The 24136-nt window shown below is 34.7% G+C and overlaps 1 long non-coding RNA gene across 5 annotated transcripts in view, besides 1 other annotated feature; it reads right to left on the minus strand.

The window, feature by feature from the left end:
• The window catches only part of LOC102724934 (uncharacterized), a 181069-nt gene that overhangs the window by 42384 nt on the left and 114549 nt on the right, over positions 1-24136 (minus strand). For 2 of the 5 annotated variants that reach the window (XR_001750707.2, XR_001750708.2), the window contains exons 5-6: positions 21313-21412; positions 14365-14405 (exon numbers count right to left, since the gene is read on the minus strand). This is a non-coding gene — a long non-coding RNA (uncharacterized LOC102724934). Of the gene's footprint in view, positions 1-11010; positions 14406-21312; positions 21413-21560; positions 22473-24136 lie in introns of those variants that run through there. The other 3 variants (XR_007064104.1, XR_001750706.2, XR_943701.3) reach the window with 3 other exon arrangements.
• Positions 20799-23306: an enhancer, noted in NCBI's record as "VISTA enhancer hs1168". NCBI's record gives its function as "enhancer in: hindbrain (rhombencephalon)[3/8] | cranial nerve[8/8] | facial mesenchyme[7/8]" and the evidence as "EXISTENCE:transgenic organism evidence [ECO:0001131][PMID:17130149]".

Below are 24136 nucleotides of genomic sequence, written 5' to 3' on the forward strand. Positions count from 1 at the left end.
CTCTAGCATTTTTATTTTTTCTTAGAATTTCTATCTCTATGCTTATATCATTCATATCTTCTTTCACATTGTCTACTTTTCCATTTAACCCTCTAGCATATTTATCATAGTTTTTTTTCTTTTAAAATTTTTGGTCTGATAATTCTAACACATTCCCATCACATCTGATTCTGGTTCTGATACTCTATTCAGTTGTGATAAAATGTGTTGTGTTGCCTGTTAGTATGCCTTGTAATTTTTTCGAAAGCTTGGCATGATGTACTGAGTAAAAGAAATCATTGATGGCTGGGTGCGGTGGCTCACACCTGTAATCCCAGCACTTTGGGAGGCTGAGGAGGACAGATTATGAGGCCAGGGGATCAAGACCATCCTGGCCAACATGGTGAAACCCCATCACTACTAAAAATACAAAAAAATTAGCTGGGTGTGGCAGTGTGCACCTCTAGTCCCACCTACTTGAGAGGCTGAGGCAGGGAATTGCTTGAACCTGGGAGGCGAAGACTGCAGTGAGCCAAGATCATGACATTGCACTCCAACCTGGCGACAGAGCAAGGCTCTGTCTCACAAAAAAAAAAAAAAAAAAAAAAAAAAGAAAAGAAAGAAAGAAAAAAAGAAAGAAAGAAAGAAAAGAAAAGAAATCATGGTAAATATGCATTTCGTAATGTAGTGAAAATCATAAGACCCTATAGTTTTATAATTAGGTTTTAATTTCTTAATAAGCCTGTACCTCTGGGCTATAAACTTCCCAAATGCTTCTTAATTTACCCTCCCCTTACTTAGGTGGAAGAGAATGGCTAGAGGGTGATGACACTGGATATCTCCCTTCCCCAAGATCAATTAGGTCCTGACATAACCCCAACAGGTAAGGCTCTGTTAAAAAAAAAAAAATCCTCCTGAGGGCATTCCTTGTTAAGAAAAACAGAATGCTCTGGCATATTTCAAAATGGATTCTTTTCCCCTCCTTCAGGTCACCATGCCAGAAGTTAAAAGAAGCTCCTGAATTTATGGTATTCATGGAAAGTTCTCCATAATACCACCCTGCAAAAATTACAACCTGACTTGGTGCTGATCATTTTGCTGTTTCCTCTGTAATTATAAGATGCCCTGGACTGCCCTGCATTCTGAAAATATAACCCCCAAAATCCTATGATTAGAGAGCAATCCTCCTGCCTTGACCATGCATGCTCATTCCCTATGCTACTTCTCTCTTTATTTTTCTCAGTAGCAATTATTACTATATGATATTACTCACAAACAAATGTAGTTTACCTCCCCTCAACTTCACTAGAAGGTTCTGTGAAGTCAGGAACTGTGTCTCTTTGGTTAGCTGTTGTATACAGGGCCTAGAATAGTGCCTGTATAAAATAGGTTTGCAAATATTTCTCGAATGGTTGATTCCCTCACAAGTGAAAAAGATTTTCAAACAAAGTGACTCTATGTCTAGGATGTCAGTCAGTTTGGATAGTTTTAAGACTCAGCTGACTTATTCTATTTGACTAGCAAATGCGTGCAGTCAAAATGTCATTATGTAGGTATAATTTATATGATAGCTTCTCACTAACATAATTAAATGTAAAGTTATTTGCATTTCTCAAAAATACAAGCCCAATGGTACTCAGTCTCTAGGGCACACACACAAAAATGAACAGAACTCACTAAAGGAGGTTTAGTAATCTTTTAAATACTATCATATTAATATAGAAATGCTTATTCTATATAACATTTTAAATATTTTAGTAAAATAAAATGTTATGGCTAGAAAATAAAGTACTAAAACCTTAAAAACTTGTTATCTCTGATGGCTACAAATGTGAATTATTATTTTCTTCTTTATAATTTTTTTGTACTTTCTAAATGTTCTACAATGAATATATATTAATTTTATAATAAGAGGAAATGTTATTTGCAACAGAAAATATTTTAGACTTCTAATGGCAAAAATATAAATCACACAGTAAAATTAAAGATAGAAATATTATGTAGAATAATGTATTATTTCATTTACCTTGATACATGGAACACAAATGGGGAAGATTTTTATCACCTCTCTACAGATTACTATTTCTAAAACTGTTTATTTCTCAGGGTAATTTTAATTATTATTATATATTTTTTGGTTTTTGATGTAATACTTTTAATTTATGTAATAATTCTTAGGTTTTTTCTATTCTATATGAATTAAGTAATATTTTATTAATGAAATTTTATTGTTAGAACACTTTCAGAATTGCAGAAAATTATGAGGATAGTACAGAGATTTTCCATAAACTGTTAATCTAGTTGCCCCTATTATTAACATCTTACATTTGCATAGCACAATTGTTACAATTGATGAGCTAATATTTACACACTATTTTTAACTAAAGTCCACATTTTATTTAGATTTCCTTAGTTTTTACCAAATATCTTTTCATTATTGCTGTTCCAGAACCCCATCTAAGATATCACACTATATTAGCTATCATTCCTCCTTAGGCTACTCTACACTTTGACAGCAATCAGAGTTCTCTTGTTTTGATGACATTGACAGTTTTGGGGACTATGGATTGGGTATTTTGTAAAATGCCTATGGGATTTGTCTAATATACCTCCTGTTATCAAACAGAATGTATTAGTCCATTTTCACACTGCTATAAAGAACTACCTTAGACTGGGTAATTTACGAAGAAAAGAGATTTAATTGACTAAAATTCTGCATCCTTAACAGGAAGCATGACTGGGAGGCCTCAGGAAAATTACAATAATGGCAGAAGGAAAAGGGGAAACAAGGCACATCTTACATGATGGCAGGATATAGACAGAACAATGAGAAGAACTGCCACACACTTTTAAACCATCAGATCTCATGAGACCTCACTCACTGTCATGAGAACAGCATGGGAGGAAACCGCCCCCATGATCCAATCACTCCCCACCAGGTCTCTCCCTTGAGAGGTGGACACTACAATTCAAGAGGAGATTTGGGTGGGGAGACAAAGCCAAACGATATCATTCTGTCTGGGGCCCATCCAAAATCTCATGTCTTTCTCACATTTCAAAACACAATCATGCCTTTCCAACAGTCCCCAAAAGTCTTAACTCATTCTAACATTAACCCGAAAGTCCAAGTCCAAAGTCTCATCTGAGACAAGGGAAGTCCCTCTGCCTATAAGCCTGTAAAATCAAAAGCAAGTTAGTTACTTCTGAGATGCAATGGGGGTACAGGCATTGGGTAAGTGTTCCCATTCCAAATGGGAGAAATTGGCCAAAACAAAAGGGTTACAGGTCTAATGCAAGTCCAAAACCCAATAGGGCAGCCATTAAATCTTAAATATCCAAAATATCCTTTGACTCCATGTCTCACGTCCAGGACACACTAATGCAAGGAGTGGGCTTCCAAGGCCTTGGGCAGCTCTGCTCCTGTGGCCCTGCAGGGCACAGACCCCTTGGCTTCTTTGACTGACTGGCATTGAGTGCCTGTGTCTTCTCCAGGGGTGTGGTGCAAGCTGTCAGTAGATCTGCCATTCTGGGCCCTTGAGGACAGTGGCCAGCTTCTCATGGCTCCACTAGGCAGTGCCCCAGTGGGGACTGTCTGTGGGGGCACCAGCCTCACATTTTCCCTCTGCATTGCACTAATAGAGGCTCTCCATGAGGACTCCACTCCTGCAGCAGGCTTCTGCCTGGACATCCAGGCATTTCCATACATCGTCTGAAATTGGCAGAGGCTCCCAAAGCTCAGCTCTTATCTTCTTCACACCTGCAGGCCCAACACCACATGGAAGCTGCCAAGGCTTGGGGCTTGCACCCTCTGAATCAATGGCCTGAGCTGTATGTTGGCCCCTTTTAGCCATGGCTGGAGCTGCAGTGGATGGGAAGCAAGGCACCATGTCCTGAGACTGCACAGAGTAGTGGGGCCCATGAAAGCATTTTTCCCTCCTATCCTCTAGGCTTGTGACGGGACAGGTTGCCATGAAGATTTCTGAAATGCCCTGGAGACGTTTTCCCCATTGTCTTGGCTATTAACATCTGGCCCTCACTACTTATGAAAATTTCTGCAACCAGCTTGAATTTCTCCCCAAAAAATGGTTTGTCTTTTCTCCCACATAGTCAGGCTGCAAATTCTCCAAACTTTTATGCCCTGCTCCACTCTTAAACATAAGTTCTAATTTCAGTTCATCTCTTTCTTAATGCATATGAATGTACATTTTTAGAAAAAGCCATGTCACATCTTGAACTTTTTGCTGCTTAGACATTTCTTTAACCAGACACCCTAAATCATCTCTCTCAAGTTCAAATTTCTGCAAATCTCTAGGGCAGGGACAAAATGCTACCAGTCTCTTTGCTAGAACATAGCAAGACTGACCTTTGCTCCAGTTCCCAATTAGTTCCTCATCTCCATCTGAGACCACCTCAGCCCCTGGACTTCATTGTCTATATCACTATCAGCATTTTGGTCAAAACCATTCAACGAGTCTCTAGGATGTTCAAAACTTTCCCATGTGTTCTTGTCTTCTTCTGAGCTCTCCCAACTATTCTAGCCTCTGCCCATTACCCATTTCCAAAATCACGTCCACATTTTAAATTATCCTTATAGCAATACCCAACTTCTCTCAGTACCAATGTTCTGTATTAGTCCATTTTCACATTGCTATAAAGAATTACCTGAGACTGGGTAATTTATGAAGAAAAGAGATTTAATGACTCACATTACCACAGGCTTAACAGAAAGCATTACTGGGAGGTCACAGGAAACTCACAATCATGGCAGAAGAGGAAAACAAGGTACATCTTACATGGTGGCAGGATAGAGAGACAGCGAGAGGGTAACAGCCACACACTTTTAAACCATCAGATCTCATGTGAATTCACTCACTATCACAAGAACAGCATGGGGGGAAACCACCCCAATGATTCAATTACCTCCCACCAGTTCCTTCCCTTGACATGTTGGGATTACAAGTTGAGACACAGTTTGTGAGATCTGGGTCAGGACACAAAGCCAAACCATATCATTCTACTCCTTGCCCCTCCCAAATCTCATGTCTTTCTCACATTTCAAAACACTGAGGTTATGTCTTTTTGGGAGGAAGACCATAGATATACCATTTTCATTGCATCATGTCATGGCACATACTGTCAACACGATTTATCACTGTTGATGTTTACCTTGATCATCAACTGAGGCAGTAGTTGTCAAATTTCTCCACTGTAAGGCAGCTACTTTTATTCCTTTCTATACTATATATTTTTTTGAGAGTCCCTACGCATAGCCCTCACTTTAAAACTAGAGAATTGTGCTCCTATCGTCTTGAGAGTAAAGCAGCTACACAAATTATTTGGTATTCTTCTGCAAGGAAGATTTGTTTTTGTTCCACCATTTCTTTACTTATTCAATAAGTGAAGATTTATGCATATTTATTTTATATTTTGGTTAAAATTCAATGCTACTTTATTTCTTTGCTCATTGTTCTATCCATGCCTTTTGAGAATTCTTTTTTTTTTTTTTTGTTTTGCAACTAATATTGATTTCTTTTTTATTTTTATTTTTATTTTTATTTTTTTTTTAATTTTTTTTTTTTATTATACTCTAAGTTTTAGGGTACATGTGCACATTGTGCAGGTTAGTTACATATGTATACATGTGCCATGCTGGTGCGCTGCACCCACTAACGTGTCATCTAGCATTAGGTATATCTCCCAATGCTATCCCTCCCCCCTCCCCCGACCCCACCACAGTCCCCAGAGTGTGATATTCCCCTTCCTGTGTCCATGTGATCTCATTGTTCAATTCCCACCTATGAGACATCATCTCACACCAGTTAGAATGGCAATCATTAAAAAGTCAGGAAACAACAGGTGCTGGAGAGGATGTGGAGAAATAGGAACACTTTTACACTGTTGGTGGGACTGTAAACTAGTTCAACCATTGTGGAAGTCAGTGTGGCGATTCCTCAGGGATCTAGAACTAGAAATACCATTTGACCCAGCCATCCCATTACTGGGTATATACCCAAAGGACTATAAATCATGCTGCTATAAAGACACATGCACACGTATGTTTATTGCGGCACTATTCACAATAGCAAAGACTTGGAACCAACCCAAATGTCCAACAATGATAGACTGGATTAAGAAAATGTGGCACATATACACCATGGAATACTATGCAGCCATAAAAAATGATGAGTTCATGTCCTTTGTAGGGACATGGATGAAATTGGAAACCATCATTCTCAGTAAACTATCGCGAGAATTCTTTCCATTGGATCCTGTGTCTCTTTGACAGACCCCCACCAGTGTGTATTTATGTATGTATGTATGTGTTTGTTTGTGTGTATGTGTGTATATGTTTAACCCTTTCATGCTTTTGGTGCTATGAGATTATCCAGGTGCATCGTACATATTTCCAGCCCCAAACCTACAATTAGTCATTTATCTATGGAACTCTGATTCCTTCTAGTGGAAAATTGTATTAGTAATTAAGATCTGGGTACTCAGTGTACACTTGTCCAATGAAATGTCATTTTTAGGCACTCTCAGCTGACAGAACAAAGAAATATATCTGTGAATTCTAATCCATGTATATACAGATATCTATAAACATTATCACCTGTACCTATATTAAGCTAAACTTATACTGATGTCTCCAATGTAAATCCATTACCACATTGATGATCCTAGCCTTCTCCCTTCATTTATTTGTAAATTCCCATTGCAACAGTATGAAAGGTGGATCCCACAGTCCACTATCCACTTATGTAATTATTTAACTCCAGCATAAATGTATACCAGTATCAGAATTCTTAACTAATGGGGAAAAACATTTGTTAACTAGTGTATAGTGCTTATGCATTGTTCTTTTGCCTACTCTCAGACTCCATTCATTTCCAAAATTTCTTAAGTAAAAACCTTTTCTCCTAACACCTTCAGTGTGGTTGTTTCACATATTTGCAATAAGCTTAAATTTTTGTCATATATTGCATTTTGTCCTGAGATCTCTGAAATGTCTAAATGATTTTTAAAATTTATTTTAAAAATATATTATTTAACTTTTATACTGCACTTTCATATGGATTTTGACAAAAGTATAATATGTATCTAACATTGCAATATTATACTAAATAGTTTCACTACACTGTAAATCCCCAGTACTTTACCTGTACTATTTTTCCCCATTCCTCCTTGCAATCACTGATCCTTTTACTGTCTGTAGATTTATTTGCCTTTTCCAGAATGTCATGTAATTGGAATTATAGAATGTAGGCTTTCCAGACTGGCTTCTTTCACTAAAATAGGGATTTAAGATTCATTTTCATCTTCATATGAGTTAATAGTGTTTTTCTTTGTATCACTGAGTAATATTCCATTGTATGTATGAATATACCACAGTTTGTTTATTCATTCACCTTTTGAAGGACATCTTGGTAGTTTCCAGGTTCTGGTAATAATGAAAACAGATTTTATAAGCATTCATGTGTAGGCTTTTGGGTGAACATAAGTTTGTAAAAGAGTTGGGCAAATATCTTGGAGCACAATTGCTGGACCACGTGGTAAGACTGTGTTTAGCATTATAAGAAACTATCTGTTTCAAAATTGGCTGTACCATTTTGCCTTCCCACACATAATAAATGAAAGTTCCTGCTGCTCCACATCCTCACCACCATTTGTTATTGTTAGAGCTTTTTGTATTGTTTTAGTTTTACTCATTCTACTAGGTGTGCAGCAATATCTCATCATTGCTCTAATTTGAAATTCTCTAATAATAAATGATGTTGATTATTTTTATATACCTATTTGTCATCTGTGTATTTTCTTTGATGAAATTTCTGTTTTTATTTTTAAATTAGTATTTTTTAAGAATTACATTTTAAGAGTTATTTCTATACTTCAGATACAAGTCTTTTTCAGGTATGTATTTTGCAGATGTTTTTGTATTGGTCTGGACTGCTGTTTTCATTCTCTTAATGGTGTTGAATTTAATTTGCTGATATTAGGCTAAGAATTTCTGCATCTATGTTCATAAGAGATATTGCTCTAGTCTTCTTTATTTGTACTGGGTCTTTTTCTGGTTTTGGTAGTAGGGTAGCACCAGCCTCATAGAATGAGTTAGAAAGTATTCCTACTGTTTCTGCCTTTTGGAGGAGAAATGATACATTTAGCAAACATTTAATGAAAAAATATTATTTCTCTACAATTTCTATTGTATTTTTTTCATTAAATGTTTGCTAAAAGTGAACCTAACTGGTGCTTTCTATTTTGGAAGGTTATTAATTATTGATTCAATTTTTTGAATATACATAGGTATATCCAAATAAGGTGGTCTCCTTGTATGAGTTCAGCAGTTTGTATTTTTCAAAACATTGGTTCGTTTCTTATAAAGTATCAATTAAGAAACATAAGGAAAGTCTTTCATAATTCTTTTCCTTTTTCCTGAAAAGTAAGTTTTATTTTGTTTTCTTCTACTGACATCTTTCAAAATTTTCTCTTTGCCTTTGTTTACTGAAGTTTGATTTTAATATGCTTAGATGTTTTGGTATTTATCTTTCTCAGAGTTCTCTGAGCTTTCTAGATCTATGGTTGTTAATATTTCTTTACTATTCTTTTGATGTTTGTGGGACCAGTACAGATAATACATCTTTCCTTTCTGATGCTGTGAATTTCTGTATTCTCTATTTCTTCTTAGTTAACCTTCTTATAGGTTTATCAATTTTATTTATCATTCCGAACAAGCTTAGGATTTCATTGATTTTTCTCTATTGTTTTCTGTTTTCAATTTCATTGATTATCTGCTTTTATCCACTATGATGTTACTGTCATTTAACTTATCCAAGGACTATAATCATACAACACACCGTTAGAATTACTGTAAATAAAAAGATATCTTTCATAATTAAGAAGAAAAAATATTTTAATTTTATTTAATGCCTTTAATTTTCCCTCCGCCGATGTTCTTCCTTTCTTTATTTAGATGTGAGTTTCTGAATGATACCATTTTCTTTCCCTCTAAAGAATTTTAAAAATATTACTTGTAGGGAAGATCTATTGATGATAAATTTCCTCAGATTTTTATCTGAGAAAGTTGTTACTTTGCCTACAAGTTTGAAGAAAAATTTCACTGGATATAAAATTTTAGATTTCATTTTGCTTTTCTTTTAATACTAAATATTTCACTTCACTGTCTTTTTGATAACATAGTTTTAGAAGGAAAGTCTTTCATAATTATTTTCCTTTTTCCTGAAAAGTAAGTTTTATTTTGTTTTCTTCTGCTGACTTCTTTCAAAATTTTCTCTTTGCCTTTGTTTACTGAAGTTTGATTTTAATATGCTTAGATGTTTTGGTATTTATCTTTCTCAGTGTTCTCTGAACTTTCTAGATCGATGGTTTGCTTTGGCCATTAATTTTGGAAAATCCTCAGCCATTATTCCTTCCAATATTTCCTCTGTCCTTTTCTCTCTTTCTTTTCCTTCTGCTGTTTTCATTATATGTAAGTTACATTTATTGATTCTTCTATTTTTTTCTAAAAATTATTTTTCTCTTTTCTCTTTGCATTTCTGTTTGGAAAATGTATAATGATTTATCTTCATGTTAACTTAATTTTTATCAGCTGATGAGCCCTTGTAAAGAATTTTTCATTTCTGTTACCATGGCTTTGATTTCTAGCATTTTCCTTTCATGAAGGTTTTATCATTCTGTTTAATTTACCTGTCTGTTCTATTATTCTCTCTACCTCTTTTTTTACAGCATACCAAACATATTAGTAACAGTTATTTTAAATTCCTTGATGATTCCAACTCTGTGTCACAGCTGAGTCTTATCTGATGTTTGCTTTGTCTTCAGAACATTTTCTCTTGCCTTTTGTTATGTTTCGTAAATTTTTTTTTTTTTGGTTGAAAGTCAAATATGATGCATGAGGTAGGTGTTAGGAAATTAGGTAAGTAGACCTTTAGTGTGGGGTTTTATGATAATGTGGCTAGGAGTAGGGCCATGTTTACTGTTTGTTGTAGTTGTAGGTGCCAGAGAATTCAAATGCCTAGAGTGCCCTTGTTTTTGTCTCCCCTGTTGTGTTTAGTGTCCCTCAGAACTCTTTAGATAAAGTCTACCTTACAGCTCTTTGGGAAATAACACTATTATACTGGATCCTTATTGATGTGATGGTAAGGAGTCAGGGAGGAAGAGCATTCTACAGCATTATGATTAAATCTGTCTTTTAGTGGGTCTTTAGACATAGACTGTAACTTTCACAAGTTACAGTTCTTAGATTTTTTTCCCCCCTTAAATGTCACAGAAAGACCAGACGATGCTAGAGTCGAAGAAATGACTTCCTTATGCCATCCTTATCATCAGGTGGATAAGGCTCCAGTAAAGTCTTACCCTTACAGAGTAAACTTTTCTTTGTGTATGTGTGTGTGTGTGTGGAGAATACTCTATGAGTATTTAACACTGGCTAATTTTCCCCTTCTCCTCCCAGAACCAGGAGAAGATATTTTTTGACTTTTCAACATGTGAATTTAGTGTGGTTCCTGCAGGAAAAACCCAAGAAATTATTTAGGGGTTTGGAGTGCTGAGCACCAAGATTGCTGCTCACAGGAATTTCTCATTCTCATGGTAGTCCACACTGAGCCTCCAACAATAAATTAAAACTATCATTTGAGTGTTCTTATCAGCTTATGACTCCAGTGGCTTCTTTTCCAGAAAAGGAAATTGAAAGCATCTCCATATTTGCCTGTTTCTCTATATTTCAAGGTAGCAATATACTCTGGAACCTCAGTTCTCTAATGGGTCCAGTAAAAGTATTAAAAAAAAAAAAAAGCTTTTTACATGTCAGAGCTTTTGATGGTTAATTTTATGTGTCAACTTGATTGGGTTAAGGGATATCCAGATAGCTATTAAAATATTACTTCTGGATATGTCTGTGAGGGTGTTTCTGGAAGAGATTAGCATTTCTATAAGTACACTGAACAAAAAAGATGTGCCCTCACCAATGTGGACAGTCAACATCCAGTCCATGGAAGACACAAATAGAACAAGAAGGAAGATAAAGAATGAATTTATTCCTTCTGCTTGAACTGGGACATCTTCTCCTGCTTTTGGATTCAGACCAGGAATTATACCATCATTTCTCTTGGTTCTTAGGCCTTCAGATTCAGACTGAATTACACCATTGACATTTATGGTTCTCCAGTTTGAAGACAGCAGATCGTAGGACTTCTTAGCCACCATAATATGTGAGCCATTTCCTGTAAATATTTTTTATTGGTTCCATTTATCTGGAGAACTCTAACACAGAGTTGAAATCAAAAGTCTAATTTATTTTACTTTAAATCATGTCATTATGAAAACTTTTACTAAAAATAGCCCATTTTTTCCAAAGGCCGTCACTGATAGATTGTTCTGCTTGCCAAACTCTCTATTCCTCTGACATTAAACAGTCAAGTCTCTATTCTCATAAACATAAGTATCCATAGATGGGCTTTCCTCTTCTAAGGCTACAGTGGAAAACCATGTTCCAGGAGAACTATGAGTCCTGGAGTCATTCTCAAGTCTCCTGGAAACCCCCACACCTGAAAATATAAAATTGATATCATCGTCCTCCAAGTTTTTGTGTCACTGCTTTTAAAAGTAGTAATATATATGCCACAATATGTCTCATTCTAAAGGTTGAAAATTTTTATGCTATGACTATAATGACATCATTCTCCCTCCCACAGAAGGCTTTTGCTTAGAGAATTCAGCAAGAGAACAAAATTAACAGGAAACGTCACTTTCACACACACAGATGGAAAAATGTTAACATCTCTTGAATTCTATGACAATCTCCTAGATGAGAACATGTATGTCACTATAACGTACCAACGATGTGCAAACACATCTTATAAGCAGGTGCTAAACTGAGGTCACTGCTGAAAAATGGAAGTTTTGGCAGCACTGAGAACAAAAGCTTCTTCCTAGGTGCAATTTCAAGCTAAGCAGTAAGAATCATGTGTAAGAAATTTTCCAGGCAGGATAAAACTTCGGGATGTTTTGGTGACATTGTACAGAAGAGGGCTTCTATTCTGTTCCACCTTCATTTCGCAGATCATGCAGAAATCTTACTCCTTACTTAAAGATTTTTTGGAATAAAATCAAACATTTTTACTAAAAAATAATATTGTGATTATTTCAATATAAAAAAGAAATATGTGAACTTTGCCCTCCTTGAAGCCAGACCTAACAATGAATTATGAAAACTGTGCAGAAATATCTAGCAGATTCATTTGGCTCAAATTTCCCTCTGTGCCTCTGCACCTCTAAAATGCATTTCTATGTTGCCAATATGCTGAGAATAAAGAATTACTTAAATTTGTTCAGAATAACAGTTGAAATCGTATGCAGCCAGTTCTATATCTAGAAATAATGTTAACATGGTTTGTATATACAAGATAGAGTGAATATTCTTTTCTTTTCCATAAGTAATCCTAAGAAGGTTTACTCTGAACGTTCACAGAGCTGTAGAGTGAGTAAAGAAGTATTTTTTTATATTTGTGAAAATGTAAGACAAATGAGATACACAAAATTTTATAATGAGAATGATATTCTTGTAGACAGCATAGGAGAAATATATGGGACTATTAAACATTAATAGCCTATCAAGCTGAGTCATTGTTCAGAGAATTGAACACAGAATCAAAATACTACCCTAATCCAATTTGTCTTTCAAGTACCACCACACATACACAGACACACACACACACACGTACACACACACACCATACAAATAAGTACACAAATATCCTCTTTAGTAATCAGCTATGTTATCTCCCCTCCATTGCCTTTGCAATTTGCTCCTTTTCTCCTGTCTCCTTTTTTGCTAGATTGAAGAAAACTTCAATCTAGCAATCTAGCAAAGCATTTTCCTCAACTCTACTCACTTTTCAATTTATTGCCCTAACCTCTTCCTTTTGTAACTCTTTCTTGTACTCTTAACATCTGACATTGTGGGAAATTTATTATTATTAGACAATTAAATATACCACATCCACAGAATGGTGGTGATTTTTGGGTTTTGATTTTTTTTAACTTTTCCCTTTTAAGTGGATCTCAATCCATATATGTCTCTTCTTAGAGGCACATGATAAAAGTCATTTTTCTACCACTTCCCTCTCATTTGCCATGCTTCCTCAATGCCCCACACCCCCAGTAACATAAATACTGTTCTGTCAAATTTCATTATCATGTGATAGAACACCAGGAATAAGAGGGAGCTGTGAGAGATGAGGTCAGAACAATAGTAAGGTCATAGGAGTTTGGACTTTTCTCTTCAGGTCAATATACTCTCAAGTACATTGAAAAATATACTTGAGACAATAGATTGAATATACTTCAAAACAGTAGGTTGAAAAAATTGATAGGTACATTTAAAATAGTTCATAGTCATATGATTATGATCTTATTAGGCTGATCACATTTTAACAGTTTCCTCTACCAAAGAGAGCTCTTTAGAACTAATTTACCCTGTGGCTCTCCCAAGACTATAGTATATAGCATTTGTCATGAAACTCTTTGGCATTTTTTTCACAATATACATTGGAAATTTGCTTTAGACAATGGAGGTCATAGAAATATTTATCTTGTTATTTTAAAGATTACTTAGATGGCAGTACAAAGGATGGTTTCAAGGAACTACAAATAGGCTAAATATCACCACATCTGTTATATAAGAAGCAATGGGATAAAGCACGCAACAGGACTGTTGAAGAGTTACTTTCAACATTATAGGTAAGAAAAATGGTGTTCTGAATAAGATGGTGCAATAGGCAATGGCAATGAAGAAGGGGAAGAGATTATTAAGAGTTTTTAAGGAAGTAGACTTAACAGGACTTATTTGACTATAGTTACAGGATGAAGGAAGAGCCCAGAGCAGGGCCCTGATTTCTGACACAGGAGCTGACTGAAGGACCATAGCATGATATGGACATTCAAATCCAGAGGAAACTGGAGGATAGTAGAAGTAGGATGGTTTCAAGGAGGGGTGCTACAATGTGAGAAGCATGTGAAAAAGGGGTGAGAAAACTTCTCTACAGTTTTGCATGGAACTGTGCTTGCTCTAAAGGGCATAGGTTTTCATGTCATGTGGCTAAGTACAGTGAATATCTCATGTAATTTATTCTTTCAGTAATTATGTCTAATTTCTTTCACTGGTATTTGGTCCTATATAAATTTGATTGATACATTTTGTTCCTACTAAAGCTAAGACTGGACTCAGGTCTGGTACCGTTATTCTCTGTGTCAGAGTCTTCAATTGACCCAATTTCCATCAAATAAATAAACAATCCTTCTTCTCTAAGTGAGACTTGAAACCATGTTTGTCTCTTTTTCTCCCTTCATATTTCAGTTCTACTTTTTCACCTTTTATAATGTTCTCATATCCAGAAGACTCCAAAACAATCCTGAAAGACATAAATGTAGAAATAAACAAGTGGAAAGACATACCATTATCTTGGGTGGGAAGAGTTAATGTATTAAATATGCAGTCTCCATAAAAATGCCATTAGTTTTCATTTTCTTTGAAGCTAAACAGAGTTCGGTTTGAAAAAAAGTAGGAAAACTCTGAAATAAAGGATAATCCTAAAAAAGAAAAGAGTATGAGTAATCTAGCCCTAAAAGTTGTCAACACATATTATGAACCTCCTATAATTTATTTATTTATTTATTTATTTATTTATTTATTTATTTATTTATTTATACGGAGTTTCACTTTTGTTGCCCAGGCTGGAGTGCAATGGCACAATCTTGGCTCACTGCAACCTCTGCCTCCCAGATTCAAGCGATTCTCCTGCCTCAGCCTCCCGAGTAGCTGGGATTATAGGCATGCACCACCACCCAAGGCTAATTTTGTATTTTTAGTAGAGATGGGGTTTCTACATGTTGGACATGCTGGTCTCGAACTCCTGACCTCAGGTGATCCGCTGGCCTCAGCCTCCCAAAATGCTGGGATTACAAGCGTAAGCCACCGCACCCAGCCAAACCTTTCTATAATTAAGACAATATTGAATCTGTGTATGAAGAGACAGACAAGTGGTATAATACAGAGAGAACGACTATTTACAGTGACTTTAAAACACAATAACTTGACGGTGTATCCTTGGTTGGATATATTCTAAGACAAAAACTTGAAAATAATTATACAGTTTGTGGATTATATTTGTAGATGTCATTGATACGTTATTATTATGAGACTTGTATGTGTATTAAGGGAAGAACAAATAAGGATTTATGAGTATGGTTAAAGGCCAGGATTGCTGACATGAGAGAAACAGGAAATAAAAGTGAAATAAAGGTAAAAATCATATACTCCTGAATTTGAATTGGAAACATCTTTATAAAACCATAACAAATTTTGTATTTCCAAATCCAGATTTCTTAGGTTCGTCCTCTGGATATATATATATATATATAGTTTATATATATATAAACAATTTCCAATGCTATAGTAATTAGCACCTCTAGCACTCAAATTGTAATTTCTAAATATCATTTCATAGTACAAGCAATAAAGACTCCTTGGAGAAATAGAGGATTCTGAGTTCTGGGTAGGAAATTTAAGATAATCTTGGGGCATCTTATCATACAAGAATGTGAGAAAACTCTCAAAGCCTCCACGGCTATATCAAAAAGCCTCAGAAGTCAACTTAAATAAGGAGTTTAATAATTATTGCAATCAATAATTGCGATAGATTGAAATACATCAAACACGTTCTAATCCATGAGCTCATAATAGTTCTTTAAAAATGAAGAAATAAAACTCACTGGTCAACTTTGGAAGATGCTAGGAAATCAACTTAGGAAGATGCTAGGGAATCAACTTATCAGTTTGCAAACTGTTTTATAAAGAGCAATAGACATCTGAATTTTCTAAATGAGCTATAAATCAGTGTAATCAAATTATTTATGAGAAGTTTCATGTTATAGTAGTATTTCAGTTAATAAAAGATTGAAGTAGAATATCGCCATTTTGTAATAACTGCTATAATACCAACAGGGAAACAAAAGACAATGAAATAGTACACAACACAACCTATAAACAATTATTTTGGTTTTCTGTTTCTGTTTTTTTTGTTTTTGTTTTTTGTTTTTTTGAGAAAGGGTTTTGTTCTGTTCACCTGGACTGGAGTGCAGAGTGCAGTGGCGAGATCACAGCCTCGACCTTCTGGGCTCAAATGATTCTCCCATTTCACTCTCCAAAGAAGTAGCTGGGACTAAGGGGGCACGCCATGCTCGTCTAAATTTTTTTTTTTTTTTTTTTTTTAAATACAGGGTTTACCATGTTGCCCAAGCTAGTCTCGAATTCCTGGGCTCAAACAATCTACTGTCCTCGGCCTCCCAAAGTGCTGGGATTATAGGCATGAGCCATGGTGCCTGGCCCAATTCTGGCCAAAAAAAAAAATTGAACCTAAATCTGTTCAAGATTTTAAATTCAACCACCATTTTCAGGAATACATAGGGAACAGAAGTGCATAGCAAATCCTACCCTGAGTATGTGGTCAGCAAAATAGAGACTGTGTTTCAAGAAAAAAGAGGTGAAAGATGAAACTAAAGATTTAAAGAGATTTCAGAAACATAAACCAACTCAAGTGAATGGGCCTTATTTGGACAATAATTCAAAGAAATTAATTATAAAGAAATTTTATATAAAAATTGAAGAAATCTAAACACTGATTGCATGTTTGGGATTGTTAAAAATTATTGATTTTTTAGGTATGAAAATGGTATTATGGTTGTTTGTTTTTCATTATTCCTTATCTTTTAGAAATTTATATTAAATCAATAGGTGAAGTGAAATGATGATGGGCTTCAAAAAATCTGGAGGTAAAGTAGGTAGGCAAGAATATAGATAAAATAAGATTAGTCATGAATTGATAATTTTTGAAGCTGAGTGGTGAATATTTGGGGGTTCATTATATTCTCTTTAATATTGTTTGAAATTTTTCCTAATAAAAGATAAGAGAAAGAAATTCATATTATTCCATTCTTCTGATTTCTTACATCAGGTTCTCCTTTTCCTGTACTAAAAAAAAACTTACCATCACAGTGGTTTCTTTAACCAGAATTTTAACCCCTAAGCTTCATGTTGAACATGCTCATTATGTTCATTCTCTAAATCTTAAAACACAACTTTCTACAAGTAGCTACTTTGCTCTGAACATGTAAGTGGTTCTCCACTTTCCTCAAAATAAACCTTAGTTTACTCTTTATTTGTAGTAAAGTATCTTATTTTCGAAATACTTTAAAATCTGTTTCTATCCAGCTCTCTGAATATTTCTTTTAGTTTTCCTTATGAACTCTAAGGTATGGTCAAAGCACTCTTATTTGTATACTGGTCTACTTGTCCTTAGAAGAGGCCGTAGGAACTTCCTCTTCTGTCTTGTAGTACGTCTGTCTCAGTAGGTATATTTATATTTATCTGAATGTGTTTCTTCCTCAAAGACCAATTCAAGTGTCACCTGCTCCATCAACCTTTTTCTAAAGACACTTCGGTCCACAAACAATTCTCTCTTTAAACTCCAGAATAAATTATTTCCTTACTACTCATTTTATCACATGCTCCTCTACATGACTAGTGTTATTTTAATGCACATATTTTACTTTTTCGATGTCGGGGACTATGCCAGATTTCTATGTACTCAAGAACCTACTGCAGTATCTTACATAATTTTCCAACAAATGTGTGTTGTTGTTGTGGTTGTCATTGCTGCCATTATTGTCGTTGGGGGTGGTGATGTTGATGATGATTGTGGTGGTAATGATAATGATGATAAAGGAAGTTCATTTGACAATAGTTGTCAGGATCCCAAAATTTTTCATTAAGATGACCTTGCCTCTAGATACTTATGGCTAAATTTGAGAGTAGTAACTCACAGAACTAAAACTTCAACTTTCCTATGGTCCTCAGAAGTCTAATTCATGTGTTTCAATAACTTAGTCTTCATAATCAAGATGATTTAAAACATACAAGTAAGCAAATGAAAGACAAAATTTAATTTTCAAAATTCTTCATCGGCTTTCTACTTCTCAGAGGAAAAATTACAAATGTCTTGGTATAGCATCAAAATTTTACAGTCTGCTCTAAAATCCAAAATCAAATTTTATTCTCATTGTTTCCCTTTATGCATACACTACTTCAGTTAAAATCACCTAATTTTAAGTATCTTTGGAATTATTCCTATATTGGCATTAAACTTCCTTAGTTTAGATCTTCCCAGTTTCTTAGATTGTTTCAATCCCTTTTCTAAAGGAGCACCTGGCCTCTAAGTGTATACTTTCCATTTCATGCTTCACCCTTCACTGAAGCCCAATAAGGCTTAACCCTGCTTAAAATTCTTCTTTGACTGTTTTAGATGTAAAGGCTAAATGCTTTAACATAGTGTTCTGGATCCTTTAAATGATCTTATTACTTCAATATCTATTATATGTTTGGGACTTACTACAGAGTGTAAACACTATACACCCAGTCCTATGAGCTATTGTCTAATGAGGGGGAAATGGTTATAAACCAACAGATATAAACATGTGATAAAGAACAAGAGCTATGACACATACACACAAAAAATACATGCCATGAGAAGGAAATTTAAAAAAACATATTTAGATTGAAGATCAGAAGAGGCCTTTCTACTGAAGTAACATTTAAGTTGATTCCTTTATATACAGAAAAAGTTACCTGAGATAAATTTTGAGAAGGCTCTGAAACTACACAGAGCAATGAATTCGCAATATATACCATCTGTGTTTATTAGCTGCCTGATCAAACATTATGTTTTAGAAAAACTGATGATAGGAACTCTTTATGTAAATTATCATGACCCTTTGTATTATACACTACAAATATTTTTCTAGTCTGCTGTGTGTCTTTTATTGTTATCCTTATTTTTCTATCAGAAGTTTAAATTTTTCAACAGTCTTTCATAGGTCTATGGCTTTGTGTTTCCTGCTTTCCCCAACCACAATATTATTATAAATATTCATATATATTTCCTTTCCTACTGTTAGAATTCTCTTTTTTATATTTACTCTTTCATCCATCTGATTCTATGTTTTACATAAGGCATAAGGGAGACCTAACTTGTTTACTATGTGGTTAGCCATTTGTTTAAATCCCCATTTATTGAATAATAATAATTAGCATTTATTATGGTTTACTATGAGCCAAATACTCTGCCAAATGCTTTACATTTATTATTTCTGTTACTTTTCAATGTAAGTGTGATTATACTCCCCAATTTTCAGATAAGGGAATCGAAGGACAGTTTAGTGATTTGTTCAAGGTAATACAGCTATTAAGAATAAGAGCTGAGATTAGAACCAAGAGATATCAAGCCAAGATTTCATTCTCTTCACAATCACATTGTACTGACTTCCAAATCTTTTCCCTTGCTCATAGATTTGAAAGATTTCTTTTATCATAGAATAAATTTATATTGTACAAATATATAACTATATATATACCTACTTGTGTTGTTTCTGGACTTAAACATTCTATATATGTACTTATATGTGCAATAATTTTAAGGTGATTACAGAACTCATGGTTAGTTCTTTTTGCTCCATGTTTCTAGGCTTCTATTAATTGATTCATTCATTTGACTAAATTATCTTTGAATACCAAAATGTGTTTTCTACTTCTACTATTAAAATTGTCTCTCTTCTCTTTCTCTTCTATTTCATTCTCATGTTCTGTCATCTGATGCCCAACTTGATTGTAGAATTCGATCTAATAATATTAAACTTTATATAAAATGATCACATTTTATATAAAATATAAACTTGTATAGTAAAAATATTCCGTATACTATAATAAGAGACCTGTTTCCAATTTCTATCTGCTTTTCTGATATATTACGTAGATATACGATATTGAATACATTGAAAACTTAGAAAAACATTCTCGTACTCTCCCAGTCTCGCTATAAAAAATATTGTTTGCTGCCAGAGTGTGTTACACATAAACCTTAACTATATTTTGGAAGAACATAGTATCTGTTGTCATGGATCATGATCCCTTGAGATATTCTTTAAGAAGGGCATCATCTCAATGTTTCTCTACAGGATTACTGAATTTCCAAAGGCTCCATTTCTCCTTTCTTAGCAGAGCTGTATTAATCAGAATTGCCACCTGCTCTTTGATAGACTCCTTCAAAGAACTTATCTCTCCTTAATATACTTTTATTAGATATGGCTATTAGTGAGTTACTGGGACACATTCCCTGCTCTGTATATTGCAAACTAAGATTGAATTGGGCACTTAAGGAAACTGCATTAACTCTTTCAGGCCACCAGGGTATCATTTAGGGGATCTCTTGTAACATTTTCTTTAAACCAGGTCATTATGATGTCATTTAATCATTTTAGAACACTGAAATAGATATTTATGAGTTAGCTCCCTAGCAGTCTGAAAGAATTAGCATAGGTCTCCAAAGCCTATGACCTGCTCCAAAGTCAAATAGGATGAACTTCCTTCAGTATGCCAGTGATTTCTTCTCTAAGAGAATGTGCAACATTTGACGATGGAAAAGGAATCAGTTGAAATTCCCCTACATAATTCAATGAGGATTATTTGCTGAGAAATTATTCTTGTTCTCTCTTCATTCCATTCCTGTTACCAATGCACAACTGTAGCAGAATTCAGGGCCTATTCGCTGGTTGTCTATTCCTACTAAATGATACTCACCTAAGAAAAATTATGGTTAATTGTAGAATGATGGAGTTGGAGGGTTTCTCTAGAAACCATCTGGTAAAAGTGGAGTTTGTCAGATACAGCCCTTGTGAAACTGTCTCAGACTAATAAGAAATTATCCTGCTTTAAAGGTCTGAATTTTTTTTCACTAATAGGAAAAATATTTATATTGAGATAACATTTGCTTTTATGTAGCTTATGGAACATGGTAGGATTTGGGGATAATATATCACCTTGCTGTTCTCTACTACTAAGTAAAAATCTTTCTGCACAACTAGGTAAAAATCATTTCACTTAATCATGCAAAATCTGTAGATTTGTCAGGATGTAATATTTTTAAGGTACTTTGCACTACCTACAGGAGATGTGTGGGAAACTGACTGTTTATATTGTCAATTTCTGTGATGTCCTAATGAGGTGAATATTCTAGAAACTAAAAAAAAAATACAAGAAAGAAAACGTTTTACCGCATTAGGATAAAATTAGTCTTTTTTTTTTTAAAAAAATCTCCATATTTCCATTTCTATTATCTGCCTATTTTTAACAGATTCAAATTCCCAGATATGCATTTATTTATCAATTCTGTGCAGAATTTTTATATAAGGCAAGGAATGAGATTATACCTTGTGATGTCATGTTGCTGTATTTAACAGATACTTCAAACTGTAGTCACTCTCACATCACTGTTCAGAATTTCCATAAATCCAAAGCAAGATAATGGAACTAAAAGAAAAACAATATTTTAGATTAGGGAAAGCAAGGTATTTCAATTTTTATGGGGAAAGCCAATTTCAGTTTAATTTGCTTTATGTTCATAATTTTCTAGAACATTTTCTTATTAGACTTCTATATATAAAAGCCCAGTACTTACTGTTACATTTCCCATCTTCTTCTGCAAGTAGGATACTGTCCTTTAGGCTTAAAACTCCATTCAAAATGCCATGCTAACTATAAAAACGGGTTTGTTTGCACTTATATACTTAGCTCCTGATTCAGGCCATTGTGTGTTTTACACATCTCATAACCGAGATCTATATTCTGTGTGCTCGTGGCAGTCTTATGTGGGTTTGTCTCTGAGCCAGATTTATCTTCATATTTCCCATTATAGCCTAAAAGAACCGTATTAAGGAAGCCTTTCTTTTCAGTTCCCGCTTGTGATTGCTAACATATCAAATTTATTCCTTCGTAATCCAGATCATTTTCCAGCAGCTTTGAGGCCTGGATGTAGTAGTTTGTTAGAGAGCTCATAGTAACCCTACACTGACAGACCAAAAAGCCCTTCGACTGTCACTTTATGTCATTAACAATTTTCTAAAGCCATTACAGATGGGATGGACTGATTAGAACTGAGGAGGGAGGATCTTTTTCCCAGCCAGAAATATCCCTGGAGACTTTGACGCCGTGTGAAGTTTCTAGTGATTAATGGGAGAAAAATAAGGCCGCCTGTCCCACAGTTGCCATAGCCTTTATTTGGGAAAGAGCTTATTTATATTTGGTGATCTCTCTGGATAACTAAACATTAACTGGCTCACATAAAATATAGACAGAGCGATGGATTTTAGCTGATATAATACATGTTAGGTTTAGGTCCTGAGGTTGGATTTTCTCTCCTTGTTTGAGTATAGCTATTATAATTTAATGTCAGTGCTGTTTCAAGATGAAAGTGTTTATCTTCTCCTGGCCTTTTTCCCTCCACTTCTGCTGTTTTATTTCTGTAAATGAAAGCTACAGCTGGAATATTGTTTTACTGCAAATCTCACACCAGCACTGTCAGTTGTGATGTGACACCAGAGATTCTTATCTGTAGGTTGGGTTGGAATTATTAAACATTCTCACATTGTGCAAAGTGTTGGGGATGAACAGCAGTGCAGTGAGGTGCATCCAACACTTCTGTCTTTCCCACCTGATCCTTGAAATATGACTCTTTTAAAGGGCTAATGTTCACTTTCTATAGCTTTATATAGAAAAGTGACAGTACTCAAGAAGTAACATGAACTGAAAATTATAGTAACTTCCCATCCCTCCATCTTAATGCATGCTTTCAAAAGCAGTCCTAATGGTAAACCTCATTTGAAAAGCAAACAGTTGGCCATTTGTATTTGAGAACAATTAGGTTTTTATGAAGAAAAATTGCTTGTAGCCCAAATATTATAAAATATTTGCGTTTATTTTTTCACTTCTTTTTTCAAATAACCTTTCCCATAGCTGTGAAACCAAAGTAAAGCATTTTATCAAATTAAAGTGAGAACTAAACCTCATGTTTTTATTTTACTGAAATTATTATTAAAACTGTGAAAACATGCATGCTCTTAGATTATTGCAGGTACACAGCATAATTATATATTATTTGCCATCTTGCTAATGCTTAACAAGATATAGAATTTTCATCTTCAAAGCAGTCCATAAATGTTAATCACCGTGACACTTCTGGAAGACTGGAAAGAAATATTACCTACAGCTTAAAGATAAGGAGACTGAAGAAGCGAGATTAAGTGATTTGTCCAGGAGCCCTCATTGGGCTTTGACACTCAAGGGTTCCTGGATTTCAGCCTTAAGAGAACATTAAATCCATTTCTCAGAGCCTTGACTTGAAATACACATTAAGGCTCCTGGATCACTTAAATGCTCTGCTTCAAAGTTACATTTGCACTCTGTAGAGAGATACTTACCAAAGTTGTATAGGAAGAATCAGAGTTGTACAGTGATATTTAGGCTACACAAAATTTCCTGGAAAGCACAAAATTGCTTCCTGTGTTCTTTTTTGATTAAATACAAATGTGTATCCAAAGTACTATAAGAAATAGTTCTGTCTGGTTACGAGTCACAGAGAGCAACTGATTCAGTTTTGCTGCAAGTGATCAAAACTAGGGTTCCAGATGAAATATGGAATGTCCAGTTACATTTGAATATCAGATAAAAAATGGATCTTTTTTAGTATGTCCCAATATTGCAATATCATTGTTTATGTGATATTCAAAGGTAAAGGTATCTTGCATTTTTATTTGCTAAATCTGGCAACCCTAATTGAAACCCAATTTAAACAAGCTTAGACATATGTGGGAATTATTGACTCAGAAAATCTAAGAAAGGTTTAAACAAGTAAAATGCAAAAAGGCAAAAGAAGCCTGTTTAGGGATCATTTAGAAGCCATGACATGAACACCTTCGATATTCTCTCCAGATTGTGCATCAAGGTTTTGACTTTACAGTGTTTTACTACAGACCTACATTAGCAGGAAACATGCTTGCATTTTTGCAAGTTTTATATTTAAAAAATGTGCCTCTGGAGAGACAATGGTCTAATGCTCTCCCTGCTTCATGACTCAAAAATAGTAGGTAAGAGCTGTAATTGGTCCATACCTAGCAATAATCAACTATAGCCAGACCATAGGGTTTATGTAAAAATATAGCACTTTCCACAGAAGTTGTACACCTAGAGTAAAATTGA

The sequence above is a fragment of the Homo sapiens genome, chromosome 14 (genome assembly GCF_000001405.40).
Source record: "Homo sapiens chromosome 14, GRCh38.p14 Primary Assembly".
NCBI lineage: Eukaryota > Metazoa > Chordata > Mammalia > Primates > Hominidae > Homo > Homo sapiens.